General features: G+C 36.3%; 1 long non-coding RNA gene across 1 annotated transcript in view; it reads left to right on the top strand.

Annotated features, from left to right (window-relative positions):
* Window positions 1–2,124, top strand: part of LINC02790 (long intergenic non-protein coding RNA 2790) — a 30,813-nt gene extending 28,689 nt beyond the window's left edge. Inside the window, exon 5 of the long non-coding RNA NR_125991.1 lies at window positions 1,777–2,124. This is a non-coding gene — a long non-coding RNA (long intergenic non-protein coding RNA 2790). The remainder of the gene's footprint in view (window positions 1–1,776) is intronic.
* Window positions 2,125–16,813: the final 14,689 nt, after the last annotated feature.

Here is a 16,813-nt window from a genome sequence, read left to right on the forward strand (position 1 = left end):
TGGATGATATAAGAAGAACAATAAAAGAAATATAAGAAAATATAAGACTACAAGAAATGGAAGAAAATCTGTGATATTAATTCTTAGAAATGAGGTTACTGAAAATTAAACGAGGTATCCCAGATTCAGAGAAAGGCAAACAGTTCTCCATAGGTTAGGTTTTACCTATTGGAAGATCTGTTTATAGTCACTTAGCTGGAACAGGGGGTTCAAATACGGGTATTAATTCTCTACACTTTCTATTATCACTTACTAGTTGCCTAAATCACTCTCATCTTTGAGTTAAACTAGTTAACTCTTGATGGTGGGTTTGTAGTTTTGGTGGAGTACTGTTAGATAATAGAGAAAAGATTAAATAATTTGTGAATTAAACATGGTAAAAGTAAAACAGTACATTCCTCAAAATAAGTGACTAAAAATCAGTAAGAATTATACACATTAGATTGTTGACTAAAGATCAGTAAGAATTATACACATTAGATTGTATCTATTGTTTGGAATCACATAACAACCAATACATTTGTGTTATATTAATTGGAAGGTAAGAAGGCCCATTCTTATCAGCAACCATATATGTACTTCTCATCACTCTCTCAAGACCCTCTACTGAATCAGAAGCAAACACTAGCTACAGAGAGATGTAAGGAGAAGCTTGGGCTATTTGGTTCCAACATGACAATGTGTGAGATGCTTAGAATGACTAAATTATTGTATGGGCATCATTTTGGATAACATCTATAATTAATAAATGAGTTCATAAATATCACATGGAAGTTCACTAAAAAAAATCCATTAGATCTATTTGATATAATTTACCTTATTTTCTTATTAGAAATTACCTTGCTTTCAAACAACAGAAATAAACTCAGATTAATTTAATTAAAATATTGAATTGTTGGCTTTGTCTGAATTGGACTCCAAAATGTATGTCTTTCTTCTACCTTTTTATCTGTATTCTTTACTTTCAATCAGCTTTCCAAGCCAGCTGGTTTGATTTGACAGAGCACCAAACTAGTTTTTTACTTTAGGTATTACAGTTTAAGCATGTGATCATTGTTATTTATGATACATTTATTCATCTGTATAACAAAAGTAATAATATCTGTGTCTCCTAAGGTTCCAGAAAGAATCAAATAGTGGTACGAAAGCACTTTGTTAGGATGTTGAATAAGTATAAGAGATCTATGTTTTCTTACTTTTGATTTTATAGTTCTTAATATAACTATATAATGGAGGTTCTTAACATAACCTCCATTTGTTTTTGGAACCTCCAAACAGGTACCAAGATGAATTCAGAGAATCAAAGGGAAAGAGGATAATTGCACTTCAGAAAGAGTAGGAATTAAGGTGGCTATGGGGACCTAAACTGAAAGAGTGATTAGAGTTTTAGAAGAACTAAGAAAAGAAGAACAAGAAGTTTACAGGAACTAAGCTTTGAAAAGTGTAGGGCACTGACTACCCTCTGTGGAATTTAAAACTTATATGTATAGTCTTACCATATATATCCCTATCAATAAAAGAATAAAAGAAAGCTCAAAAACTTCTCATTTTATTTTATTACGACCTTGGTTTATTTGTGGGCAGAAGAAGATAGAAATTAAATATTTACTATTCTGGTTGATTTTGATGTTCTGCTATCACAAATATTGCCAATTTTCACTACCTCTGCTTTGTTGGTTCTCCAAGCAGATGCTTAGTCTGCCACTAGGCACTGCTGTTAATACGATTCAATTCCAGTGACTTCAAGATTTTTATTTCTCTGTCTTCATGTTTCAGATATGCCACAGAGAGGATCCAGAGAGCCCATCTCCGGTCAGTTATCTGTATTTGTATGTCAACTACAGCATCAAAAAGCATAGGCATGGATACTAAGGACCCCCTCTGTACACCAACGCCAGTCCAAAGGACAGTGTGTCACTGTGAACTGGAAATTCATCTCTCTTCTTCAATTTTTTTCTACCTACTTTATGCTTTATCTCTAAGTTGAGGCTGTTTATGGCCTCATCCTCAATTACCTTGTCCCTCATTACTCCCAGTTAATGGAGATTAAGCTTTGTATCATGACTTCCTAACTAAAATTGAAATCACAAGACATCACATAAATAAAGTTACAAATGGATTAGATAAACATTCATTTTGCTATAAGGTAAATGTAAAAGTGTATTAAAAATAATTCATATAAAGGAGAGGGAGAAGCTTTACTCTGGAGATAGAAGATACCAGAAGATTTCTTCATCTCTAAAATGGGTGCAACTTTCATTCCATTGTTAATTTAGGACAGCTTTTCTTGCAAAAGGAAATCTTGAGGTGGTACTTCAGATGTACTCAGAAGTGAGCCCTGTCAGCTTTTTGTCTGGTGACATCTGTCATTTTCTCTTGTTTACCTTCTGGAACAGCTCTAGTGATGTCTGCTGTCAGTGTCTCTGATATGGTGTTAGTATGAGAATTCGTAACTTCTTCCTCCTTTTTTCTTCTACACATCAGCTTGATTTGCTATTAACCATCTCCTGCTTGTCCCTGACAACCCTCCTGTCACCCCCAGAAGCTGCTATTGCTGATGTTTGCACTGTTGAAAGACCACAGGTGGCAGAGACCTCTCTGGAGCCCTCAGTGCCCAAGTGGCTATTTTGTGCACAGGAAAACACAACAAAACATTTATTTCTCCTCTTTTACACATTCTCATGTGAATATGAAAACAATGCTGCTTGTATCTCGTTACCTTCTTACCCATACTCTGCCACCTGCCCTTTCCATTTCTCTTATACACAAACTGTGAAAAGCTAGATCAGAAGACCAAGAGTAATGCATAAAAATAGCTCATCTTCCACTGGCCATTGTCATATATCCATGTGATGACGGGAACTTTGAGAGCCATCCCACCCGCATGAGAGAAGGCAAGGCCATGTGTTGAGGATAGTAGATCAGAAAGATAGAAACAATCTGAGTTTTTGAAGACATTAATAATCTTTAGAATTCACCAAGCCTAGAAACTTTCTGCTTCTGGACTTCTTGGTTTCAGAGATAATACGTATTTTTTGTTTCTTAAGGCCATTGAGTTGTCATATTTTGCTATATAAAACTGAAAAGATGTCTGGGCATGGTGGCTCATACCTGTAATCCAAGCACTTTGGGAGGCTGAGGTGAGTGGATTTCCTGAGGTCAGGAGTTCGAGACCAGCCTGGTCAACCAACATGGTGAAACCCCATCTCTACTAAAAATACAAAAATCAGCTGGGCATTGTGGCATGTGCCTGTAATCCCAGCTACTCAGGAGGCTGAGGTGGGAGAATGGCTTGAACCTGGAAGGCAGAGGTTGCAGTGAGCCTAGATCACACACTGTACTCCAGCCTGGGCAACGGAGCAAGACTCCTTAAAAAAAAAAAAACCCTGAAAAGACAGTAAATAATGGTCACATAACAAAAATGCACAATCTAGATGGAAATAAGAAAATTTTAATTATTAATTTGTTGTTCTCTTCTAGGCTTTTATCTCAGGAGAATCAGCTTGTCATTGGATAATTTCCCATCCTCTGTCTAATGATCTCTAGCTCTTTGATACAGTTTTAATTTTAGTTAAAGAGACATATATACACTTCAGTTATGGTAACACCACTTCTCCAACTAAGTGTTCCTTTAAAATTTTTATAAGTACATTTACGATTTTTTTTAATGTCTAGTGCATTAAAATGTTTAGGGAGAAATGGAAAGAGAAGGCAGCATTCAAGCAAATTTCATTTTGTCTCCCAAAGCCATTAACAAGTGGATGGAATTATTTTCATACACTGTAAGTTCTTCTTCTTTGATTAGAATGGTTTCTGAGTTGCTTTTTCTCCTTACTCTTAGGATAGTGACCATAGCCAAGATGTAACTATAACATTATAATAAAATTTTATTATTTAATAAATAATACATTTTTAAACAACTTAAAAATCTTTCAAGATGTCAGAATGAATATATGTTTTTCTTCATTATCTCTATGGGCATTATTTCAAATAAAACAAAATAGATATATAAAGGCATAGCCAAAAATCAAAGGAGGGAGTAGATGGGAAGAGAATACATCAATCTATGGTTGCTCTTTGAAACTGTTCCTTCTGGAAAAACAGACAAAAACCATATTGGGGATTGGGAGCCAATAAAGCAGAAATGAGAAGGATAAAGTCAAGGACACTTTTGAAAATTTTAGCCAAGGATGAAACAGATTTTTCACTGCAGAAGATCAGTAGGGCTTGGAAGCTGGAAATACTATGTCTATGAAGAGTAGGAATGAGATAGAATTAAAGTCTGTAGAAGAATCAATCGACCTCTTTCCCTCTTTCCTATGTCTGTGCACAGATTGCCTGGCATACAGGGATTTAGCCCACATGCAGAAAAGCAAAATGACAGCAACTTTAAGTGAGGTTCTTCAATTAAACTGAACCACCTCCTTGAGGGAGAAATAGGGTAGCTAGTGTAGGAGATGGCACCCCAGCATTAAACAGTCTGTCACTGACGTGTCTGAAAATTTACTGCCAGCTCTCTGCTCACTTAAATTAAGCCAAGTCTGTCAAGCCCTTAACAGTATTTATGGTCAGATTTTTTGTAGTCTCTTAATTAAATGGACAACAAGAATCTCTAGACATTAGGGGAAATCCTCAGTGCAAAGTATAATCATCCAAATACTTATTTTAAAGAAAGAGACAAAAAGAAATCCTCCCCACAGGAAAAACAAATATTTTGGGAATAGAACAATATTTAGAAAACATCCTAATTAATGTCTCTAGAGAAATTTAGAAGATAATACTTTAATAAAATGAGAGCAGGTTTACTTGAAAGGAGAAAAAATACCAAATACTAATAAGAAAGCACATTTGAATTTGAACATGTAGGTATTTACATAAATATCATATCTGTATATCTCTGTCAATCTGTCTGTAAAATGATAAAGTGAAGAAAATCTCCTGAAAAATACATCAGAAATACCAAAAGACAGACTTAATAAAATCTAAAGTAAAAGACACAGATAACCTTGTGAATCCAATGTCAGACTAATAGGTCTTCCAGAAGAGCACTGAAAATTCTAAAATTATGGCTGAACAACAAGACTAGAAAGCTAGCTGGAGTGAAAGAATTGGGGAAAAAAATTGCATACATCATTTAAAATAAGAGGCCGATTGAAAATATAGTAAAAGGATTCTGTGGGGTAAAAACAAATTCCTTGAATGTAACTCTAGGAATATTCTCCGTGAGTGGAAAAGTGAATCCTGAGAGGAGAACATATAGTCCTAGCACATTACTTGTCTCTTTAGTAATAATTATTAAATAGTCATAATACAAATGCAGCATATTTATTTACAATTTTAAGAAGCCATCTATAGGCTAGGCGCAGTGGCACATGCCTGTAATCCCAGCACTTTAGGAGGCCGAGGTGGGTGGATCACTTGAGGTAAGGAGTTTGAGACCAGCCTGGCCAAAAAGGTGAAACTCCGTCTTTACTAAATAAATAAATAAATAAATACAAAAATTAGCTGGGTATGGTGGCACACACCTGTAGTTCCAGCTACTCAGGAGTCTAAGGCAGGAGAATTGCTTGAACCTGGGAGGTAGAGGTTACAGTGAGCCAAAATCGTGCCACTGCACTCCAGCCTGAGTGACAGAGCGAGACTCCATTTCAAAAAAAAAAAAGAAAAGAAAAGAAAGAAATCATGTAAGACTTCATTCACTCTCACAACACAGTGTTAGGGCTTCCAGCTTCTACTGGAATATAGAAATTTGCAACCCATCTGTCATTTCTGTTGTAACAGAGAAACTACGAAATACAAATTATCTAGTTTTAACACTGTTAGAGAACTGTGGTCATAAAGAAGTCTAATGGAAGTATATCTTAAGGATAAAACATTTCCAAGTAAGCAGGGTTTATTTGCCACTTTCCTCCACATGGCCTGCCTAGTTTAGGTTTGGGCAGGCTGAAAATCAGACTGCCATGGGAAGAGCCACTTTTCTTGGTTAATGAGAAACAAGAGGATTTAATGACATGGTGGGCTCGCTGGCTGACATATTAGGGCTATGGATTCCCAAACACAAAGCTAATTATCTCTCCTTGCCGATCTTTTTCCCATTGGACTTTTGTTGGGTATTTGGCTATGGCAGCATGGAAGATAAGAGTCTGGGCTGGAAAGCAATAATAGCCTTCTGTAGTATCACAGTTCTTAGATCTTGCAAGAGGGAAGAGATTGCAATGCATGCAGAATGGATCTTACCCTGAAAATATTTGAAACAGGAGGTAAGTTGAAGCTAACTAAAGCTGCAACCAAGACCCATCTGAGTTCAACTGTTTGGACCTAAAGTGGTCATTTTCTCAAACCAGTTGCCGAGTTGCTTAGTTCCTATCTGGGGAGCAATGTTTATTTACTTTACTTCATAAGGATCTTTTAAATACTATATCTAGTTAAAAATAAATAATTAGATATTCAAAGATGCAAGACAAAGTAAATACTAATAACAGAAAAAGCAGTCATAGAATTATATTCAGATGTTGGAATTAGTAGACAAGCTATTGAAAGAGCTACCAAATATCTTAGAGGAATACATGAAAAATGGACAAAAAGATAAATTTTAAATTGAATTTTAAAAAGGGAACAAACTGGGCATTTTAGAACTAGAAAATATAAAACCTGAAATTACAAATTAATTGGATGGTTCAATTTCTGGGAAAATAGAGTGGATGTACTTTTCTACATTCTTCTCACTAAACTAAAAGCCCTGGACATTGTATAAAAAGCAAACATAAGAAGACTTGAAAAGGTGGAGAAAAGAGGGTAGACTGGCTTAGAGACTTTGAGAATAACACAATGATTAGTTTCTTAGCTTTCTTCTTGCCTCCTATATTCTAATCTTGGAGCTGCAGAAGCCAGTATCTCAGAAACACAATAGGTACAGACAAAAAAAAATAAAATCCCCAGCTAACTGTGTTCCTTGTAGCCAAAGAACCAGGCAAGGGGCAGCCTAGCAAGGCAACAATTATCCATTCCAGCTGAACGCCACAGGAAAGAATCATGTACTCTGTGGTGAGCTGGGCCTTTCACCTCCACCCAGCCTGACAAAGAATCACCCCCATCCCTGAAAATGTCCAGCAAGGTTCAAAAGGAAGCCTGGATTTCTAGACCCATTGGGCAGGAATTAGATGTTGTTCCCTCCTGCCCCACACTGTTCCTGCAGGAGCACTGTCAGAAAAAGTCATATAAAACAGAAATTTTAAATAAGACCTAGAATCTCATAACCTAATGTTATGACATCCCTGGGGTGTCACTTCAACAGCCAAAAGCCTCTGTGGCCTGTGGTGCCTTTGCTCCAGTTTTGCATAGGCCTGCTGGGCCCATTCGGCTTGGTAGGCTGTGCTTGGTTTGCGCTACTGGCCCGGACCCCTGCCTGCCAAAGGCAAGCAGAGTGGTGAGGGGTATGTGAGCAAGTGAGCATGGGATCCAGCCACGGTGCACACCCAGGCACACTGGCTGCAGCAGGACAGGCAGCTCCAGGTGCCAGCATGGACACTGGCTCCCTGCAAGGTTGCAGCTGGACCAGGCGCACCATAAGCATCTTCCACGGCTGGCACTGGGGAACACAATGGTGCATGGCAGGTTGGAGACACCAGGAACCACAGAGCCCCAAAGAGGGTGTCACAGCCCTGGCTTGGTGAGCTCCTAGGTCTGGGTTCCCCAAAGGGCCGTAGCTGTTCCCTCCCTCTCATCCATTTGCATCGTGGCAAGCAAGGAGTGTGTTTCAGCCCTGTTTGTGTTACAGCTCTTTCGCCCCACCAAGGTGTCTTGAGGAGTGTTCAGCTTTCAGCAGAGAGGAGACCCTGGAGTGGGTAGCTCCTCTCTGCTGGCAGGTTGTCATGGAGTCTCTCCAGTCTCCTGTGTTCGGGGTTTTATGGGCTTCAGAGGGGAGGAAGTGCATGCTGATTGGTTCATCTGGTGGCTATGAGAAGCCCAGATAAAGGACTATAAATTCCCACTCCAGTCTGTGGGACTGGGAGCCCGACCCCCAGGCTTCAGGCCTTCCCCGACCTGAAGGTAGAGCTTCACCAGGGACCTGCCCTTTTCTGCCTGGGAGACTGTCTGCCTCCTATAACTATTACTTTGTGCTAAGGGACGCTTGAAGGCCAGCGTGAACTGCCCTCAATGCCCCGGTCAGCTTCGCTGTCATGCTTACTGGTGCCCGAAGTCTGGAGGGGGTCGAGGAGGCAGGGGGCTGGTGTGACAGTGCTGCCCCCAGTTTGCACACACCTGGCCATGTTGCAACAGCACACGGGCTCAGCCTCAACTTTGCTCTGAGATCAAAGTGGGTGCAGAGAGCGGGGAGAGACCAGACAGTGGGAACAAGCACTTCTGAGCCTGCAGCGGCATAGGGGGGCCTTCCTGGGCCCTTGAGAGTGCAGAGATGCCTGAGTCCACAGCCACAGCTGGGCGGCTGCAGCTGTGCCCAGGAGGGTAGGGCTCCTTCCTGCTCCCAGCCCCCAAGAGCACTGGCATGCTCAGGTCTGCAGCTGCAGCTGGGCGGCTGCAACTGTGCTCAGGGAGCCCAAGGCTCCCACCCTGCCAACTCAGAAGGGGGCAGGGCTTCTGCCTGTTCCTGGCTCCCGCTAGTTCCATGGAGCATGCAGCCCCAACCATGCCTCCTCCCCTGAAGCTGGCATCATGGCAGTGACCACTCTAGATGGGCCGCCGCTGCCATCACTAATACCAAAATATAAAGGTTTCAGTAAAAATCACTCATCATACCAAAACCAAGCAGATCTCAAATTGAATGAAAAAACACACAACAGCTAACAGTGAAATACCAGAGATCTTAGAATCAAAAAAGATAATATAAAATCTTAGAGTCATACAATTTTAGAATCTTAAAATCTTGGAAAAGATTTTAAAGCAGCCATGATTTTTTTAAAAAAACTTCATGAACAATTATGAACACTTTTGAAACAAATGAAAAAATATCCAAAACCTTAGCAAAGGAAGTCCAGCAAAGAAATAAAAGATACAAAGGAAAACCAGATGAAAATTTTAGAAGTGAAAACAAACTAAAACACCCAGTAGAGAGGCTCAACAGTAGAATACAGGGGATACAAGAATGAATTAGCCACCTAACAATAGAATAATAGAAATTACCCAACTGAACAATATAGAGAAAACTAACTAGAAAAAAAATGTCAGAGCTTCAAGGACTTAGGGGACTGTAACAAAATATTTAAATTTTGAAATACTGAAATGTTAGAAAGAGAGGAGAAACAGCAGGGCTGAAAAAATACTTGAAATAATGGCTGAATGCTTTGCACATTTAGTAAGAGACATTGATCTATAGGTGCAAGAAGCTGAATGAAGTTCAAAAAGAATGAACCAAAGATAGCCAGGTCAAGACACATCATAAAGTCCCGATAATTAAAGACAAGGATAACATCTTGAAAGCAGCCAGAGAATAATGACACCTTATCTATTGGAGAAAAAAAATTTAAAAACAATGAATTCCTCTTAGCAACCATGGAAGCTAAAAGAAAGCGGCACCATACTTTTCCCAGTGCTGAAAGAAAAGACTATCAACCCAAATCTGTGTGCCTATCAAATATGTTCTTTAGAAATTAAGGAAAAATCAAGATATTCTCAGATTAAGAAAAACTAATCTGGCAGATATGCCCTAAAAGAGTAATTAAAATAAGTTCTCTAAAGAGAAAGGAAACAATTTTAAAAAAAAGAATATTGCAATTTTTGGAAGGAAGAAAGAACCCTGTCAGCAAAAATATTGGTAAATACTTTAGGCTTTCTTTCTCTTCCTCAATTTTCTAAATTATGCTTTATGGCTAAAGTAAAAATCATAACACTGTGGCTCTAACTGTATGTAGAGAAAATATTTCAGACAATTATATTATGAACGAGGGAGTGTAATGACATGTAAAGAGAGGCAGGTCTTCTATACCTCACTCAAACTGGTATAACAATGGCACCTGTGAATCACAGACATTACGTAGAACAAGCTCTAAAAAAGCTATATAAGAGATACACTCATAAAACACTACTGATAAAATAGAATCCTAAAAATAATGTAATCCTGTAACCCATCGGAAGATAAGAACTACAAACTAACATAGCTTCACTGGTGAATTCTACTATACATTTAAAAAAAGAAACTCCCACACTTGAAACATTTTATCTTACAACGGAGGCTAACATAAACGTGATGCCAAATCCCAATAAAGACATTACAGAAGAAGAAAATTATAGAACAATATCTTTCATGATCATAGTCACAAAAACCTAACCATATTAGCCAATTTCAGTGTTGTATAAAATGGATAAACAGTCTGAGCCAGTGGGATTTTCTATGATGCAAATAAGCATGTAAAGAAATAAAAAAGATAGTTCATTAAAAACAAAAGGAAAAAAGATGATTATCTTAATTCGTAGAGGAAAAAAGTAATATTTGCTTTATTTAAATAGGTATATTTAAATAAAGAAGAATTCATTCAATTTGAATTTTAAAATATCTACTAAAAATCCTGTAGCTAGCAGCATATTCACTGATAAAATATTGAGAGTTATCTCCTTAAAGGTCATAAACATGATAAATATTTCTGCCATCACTACTTATACTCACCATATACTGGAGGTCCTAGCCAGTATTTTAAGGCAAGAAAAAGAAATAAAAGACACAAATATTGAAAAGTAAGAAGATGATGTTTCTTTATTTGCAGACAATACTGTTGTATACAACAAAAATCCCAAGAAATATACAAGCAGCTAGTTGCCTTGCAAGGTCACAGGTTCAAGACCAATGTACAAAAATCAATCATATGTCTTTCTGCTAGCAGCAAATAGAAAATAAAATAAATAACTTCTGCAATAATATAAAAATTATCAAATTCCTAAGAATAAATTTATCAAAGGATATATGATATGTTTACCCTGAGTCCTACAAAACATTGGTGAGAAAAATGATCCATTAAGTTGAAACAACCCAGCACACATTATCTGTAGAAATGGAAAGCTGCTTCTAAACTGTACATGGAAATGCAAAACAACAAGAAAGGCTAAAATAAATAAACAAAAACCCAGAATGTTATTATTATTCATTGTTGACAATATAAAGGTAAGAGTGCTATTGTCAGATATAATACAAATGGAAGAGCATAAGAAAATAAAGGAATGCTACTTTTTGAATTTTATCAAATGTTGTGTGAACACTGAACAAGACTGAAGAAGAAATAAACTTATAATTAATTATGTTGTTTGAGGTTAAAGATATGACCCATGGAGAAACCAATAATAGTTGTAAAATTATATAGATAGGTGGTAAATTAGGGAAGTAGGGGATAGTATATATGAATTAATCTCACATCTATCATGAGAGTAAACCAATGGATATGTCTAAAGCTGGGGGAAAAAGGAGGTGTCAGTATGAAGGAAAATCTCAAACGATGAAGATTAAGGGGAATTGCTCTGGGTACCAGGACTGGAAGTGGGGAGAGATGAGCTAAGAGATGGTTGCTTTTTATTGTATTGTTTTAATTCTTTATACATCTTACCATGATAAGACTTTATAAAATGTATTAATTGGTAAGTTAAAAAGCAAAGTACTTAAATTCAAAATATGGTATCCAGGAGAAGAATGTGCATTAAAATAAGTGACAACATGAAGTTAAAAAGGTAATGATCAACTAAGTCACCTTGGGATATAGACATAAAGGAACTTTGATATTTAGCTGTTGAATCAATCTTTATTTTAATTTTTTATTTTCTTATTTTTTCAGGGGAATGACTATATTGTTTTAATAAAAAAGATACATATTTATTACTAAAAATTTAATAGAAACTTGCAGAGAAAAATGTAAAATCCTCCCTCTAATTCCATCTTTATTCATCACCAGCATTATTCTTAGCCAACTGTTCTAGGAGCTGTAAGTTTGGATGGATGAGTGGTTGGGCAGAGAAATAAGAAAAAAATGTATAAAATGGCATCAAAGTGTAATACTATTTTTAACATAAGAATTAATATTTATTTATTTAAATTTTGCAGAGAAAAATCTCATAAGAAATAAGGGAAAGGACTGCTTAACTTCAAAAAATATCTCATCACCTCAAAAGATACTGTTTCATAGTAGATCCCTCTAATCCTGAGAAACTGTGAAAAACATTGCACTTGAGTTGCCATTTTTAGCTACATGTTTTAACCTTATACAATATCAATTGACCTCTGCTATGAGACACAAAAGTATTAACTTTTTACACTTGCTCCCAGCCTCCATCTCCATCTCTCAATTTTTTTATTAGTTATATGTCATATTTAATATATATTACATTTATATGTCATAATTTTATTGTTAAGCTTACATTTACCTTTATTTGGCAACCACAATTATTGCAGGAAATAATCTTGATTTTCATTCCAGATGTTTTACAGTGGTTTCTCAATTCTGAAGTAGTGATTTTAACTTTTGAGTTTTGAGTAGTTTTCATAAGAGTGTTTATCACATTTGAATGGAGAATATGGGAGTTCTGATTTTGTTTTTCTCTTTTTGTAAGAAATACAGAAGCATGTTTCAGAAGAATTTTGGTTGTCATTTGATTTATCTGATATCTTGCCTGGGTCTAATATTTTGGATAACACATTCCCTCAAAACCTTCTAGAAATTGCTCCATTGTCTTCTGACATTGAATATAACTTTCAAGAAGTCTAAAGCCAACCTAAACTTTCTTCTGCCTGGATTTGATATGCCATTTTATGCCAGAATAACTGAAGACTGCTTCATTTTTGAATTTCAGTGACAATCAGAATTTGTCTCGGGGTGGATGGTTTTGTCGTCAAGAATTTGTCTTTGCAAAGGAGAGCAATTCTGCTGTATTTCTCTCAGTTTTGTCTCCACCCTCCATGCATCTATTTACTTTTTTTTCTTGCATCAAAATTAGATCCTTCATATGTAGAAACTCTTTGGAATACCATTCTTTATAGCATTAATCACAAAAAATAAAGAGGGAGGGTACTAATCTTGCCTGTAGAAATAAATATTAGCAGATAATTGTGCAAATAGAACACAATAGACTACTCTACTCCTAAGGAATACCGGAGACTTATAAATAAACACACAAATCAGTGGCTGCGTTCATCTATTACAGCCTCTTAAAAGCACAACCTTTGTTGCATTGTATCTGGAATATGCAGGAGGCTTGTCTAGTTTTAAGATATAGCATTGCCTCTGACCATCATCTAGTAGTCAAGAATATTTTAGTAACAAATTAAGGCAAATTGGTTCGGATTTCTGAAGGAGAAAAAAAATACAAGTCTCCCACAATAATCTGATGGTTTATTTAACCATTTATTTAAGCCAGTGAAATTAATGGGGCTGGTCTTTTGTTTAAGAAAACTTCGTTAATGTTTATCCTATCCTACTTTGACCAGGCATTTGTTGACATAAATTTAGTGCAAAATTGCCAGTTACTTTAATTTATGAATTGTTAGTACTAGCAGAATGTGTAGCACAGCTGTTACTCAATATTAGAAGGACATTTTTAAACATAATTTTTCTACATGATTAAAGACTATTGTAGAAGCAGAAGCTTAAAAATCAGTTTCACAAACTATTTTGCATCCTCATTGTTACAATATGATGTTTTGAAAAAAGGAATATGAAGGTGTAAAATATGTATTGTCATTAATTCCCCTTCTTAAAAGCAATATTGCATTCTAAGATGCTGGAAATGTTGTTTACCTTTTCCTTTTGGAAAGATTTGTTGTAGATACAATGCAACAACAAAAATATATTATACACAGACTTTATCCTAGGAACTAGACTAGACATTGGTATCACAGAAAAATCTGTCATGTTGGAATTCATTTATTTGGAAAGGAAATGCAATTGATATTTAATTGAATTCATAAAATCACAGAAAATGTTTAGACATGAAAAGTGAATCTAGTACAATCTACTTATTTTACAAAATGGAAATTTTTTTTCCAAACTATGGAGAGTCTAATATAATTTTTTTTAAATAGGGCAAAAGCAATGACTTAGTGAGTCCTTCTTTCAATAAGTACAAAACAAAAATTAACAGGGCTTACGACATGATAGTAATCTAGCTCCTTATCCCGATTTCTTTTCACTTTACACTTAAGGTTCTATATCTGTGGCTTAAAATAGCATTTATCAGAAGCCTGATGCAACTGATGTTTTAGCAAGTAATCCCAACGTTGTTTCTTGTAGGACAGGCTGATAATAGCAACCACTGATTCTACGTAATGTATTGTATCAGATAGACTGTCATCTTCTTTTACAGGTTCAGGAACAGGCCAGATTTGAGCTCAGCTTCTTCACTTATCGGGATTTTCTTAGGAAAGTATGTTCCAGTGATGAGTCTAGGAAATGATTTCCTACTGCTCTGCTGTTTTATGTTTCTTTTTGTTTTAAAGAGAAAAATAGGGTGTACTTTCCAGGATTCTATAAGAACTCAAATGTGGTAGTTTTCTCCAGGGTCTCAACTCTGTTAGTCGTAATTTGAATAAAAAGAAGGTCCTGGCCCTACCACTGGGAAATATATATATTTTGTTTCTTCATGAAGCTTGCTTGTCAGCAGTTAAGCATAAGTAGATCAGTCCCATTTGAACTAAATTGCCAAGTTTGCAAGGACTGGGAAGAGAATCCCCACTTTGCAAGACAATACGGTGATGGCTGAAGATGGCAAGCATTTGGCAAAATACCATATTTGACAAGCTCTTAGATCAATGTTTTCTATAAGCTCTTTCAGATATTTCAAGGATAAAGGAATTGTTCTTTTTTCAGATATATTATTGTTCATAAAGTTGTTTGACCTTGTTTCTTGGCTAATGCAAAGTCTTCTAAGTTTTTCTTTGAAAGGAGTTAAGAGCTATCATTTCTACTAAAAATTTTCGTGTAACATATTTTTGTTGTTCCTGCTACCTTTCAATGTAGCACTTCCAATATGCTATTTGCAAAAAAATTTTAACTTGAGGGGTAAAGAAAGAGGTAGTAATGCACACTCATCCATTAATTGTTTGCTCCTTCAACAAATATTTATTGGATACCTCCTATCACCAGGCACATTCAATACAAATGGATTAAGGTATTTTCCCTGCACTCATGTGGCTCACAGCCCAGTCTCTAACAGGTTACATGGAATTAACTAAGAAATCGGCACTAGGAGAAAGCTTCTTAAGTGTAGTCTTTACCTTGACTCTATGATTCTTACAGTATGAAGGCCAGAAACAGTGACACCTTTTGAATTGAGAAGATAATATGAGAAGTTGTTCACCCTTTCAAGTCCTCTAACATACTGGGCAGTTTACAGTTTTGGTATATTCTGAATGAGGAATGAGGATCTATAGAAGTTAATTCAGCTTGCAATATTGTCTAACTGGTTCAAATAGAAATGGGGCTTACATCCTGGAAAGCATTGATGAAAATGAAGTTCCCCACAAATGACTCTATGTAAATCCTCAATTCCAAATTTGCTTTAAAATCAAGAAAATAATTACCTTGGTCAGTGCTGTCAGGTACATACTCCTTCACTGTGTTCTGGCAGAAACTCAGAAAACCAATTCAGCAACTTAATTAAGTCCTCACAGGCAAGCATGTCCCAACTAGGCAATTTCTGGACAGTGAGATTTCCTTCCCTGTTGGGTTCTAACTTACATCAATGTCTTAGGCTACCTTAGCAGCAGCAGGACAAAAATTTGGTACTTTTGGCCTCCATTTAAGTGTTTTAGGCAGACAGCAAAATAAGGTAGCTATTTTTAAAAAATCATTCCTGGAACACGCAAAAAAGAAATTGTCACTTCTCAAAAGTCTGAAAGGAAGTCTGCTAACACTGAGTTTTTGAGAGAGAAAGAAACAAAATCAATGAGGAGAAATAATTCTCAGATTTCTGTTGAATGAAATGTTCTGATTAACACTAAAAATGTAATTCACTATACAGTAACATTTTAGGCTGAAGAGTGATTTCACTAGAGAGGTTTCTAAAGCATGGAGTGAGGAAAGCAATCACTTTTTAAAAAAAATTCTCTAAATATGAGAAGAAATTTTAATCTGGAAGTTTATTATATCTCTCTAGAATTTCACAGCGCAACAGAAGCAGACTTGTGCCTCAGATTGCTGAGATGTAGTTACAACATCAGTGAAAGCTCATCATCTTCCCAAACTGCACATGTGACCTCCAACATCTTGAATTCAGACCAGCCTATGTTTGCATGCAGCTCCCTAACTTAGCAATTCCAGTGCTGGTCTTTGTTTTGTTTTGCTGTCAAGCCTTCTACTATGGTGTCTTCTTCACTGAAGTATTTCTACATTACATTGCCCGGGACAAAGCTATTTTGTATGCACAGAAACTCGCTTCAGGACTTTAAACTATTTTCTATTCTACAGTGGTTAATTTTTCATTTATGTGGCATCTTACTGAAGAGTAGTCAGCAGTTAACAACACATTGTGAAACAACAAATATTTTACTGGATATATAATCTCCACAGTTTAAAAGTTTTATTTTCTGTGTGGATCTGTATAAAGCTGGAAATGTTCACATTTTGTGGATGCACATTTTTAATAATACACTCTATAATCACTATCAAACAAATGACCTGCACTTTAATAGGCACTCCAAACATTAGCTGCCATTTCTGCTAAACTCAGTAAACTCTAATAAAGGTGTTTTATGGGAAGAGGTTTTTTTTTTTTTTAAGAAGATATATTACTTAGATTTCATCAGCACATAAAAATGTTATCTTGGGAACACTGGAAGATTCATATATTTCTAAATTACAGCACATTCCTGTCAACTTTCACA

Source organism: Homo sapiens, chromosome 1, assembly GCF_000001405.40.
Source record: "Homo sapiens chromosome 1, GRCh38.p14 Primary Assembly".
NCBI classification, from domain to species: Eukaryota; Metazoa; Chordata; class Mammalia; order Primates; family Hominidae; genus Homo; species Homo sapiens.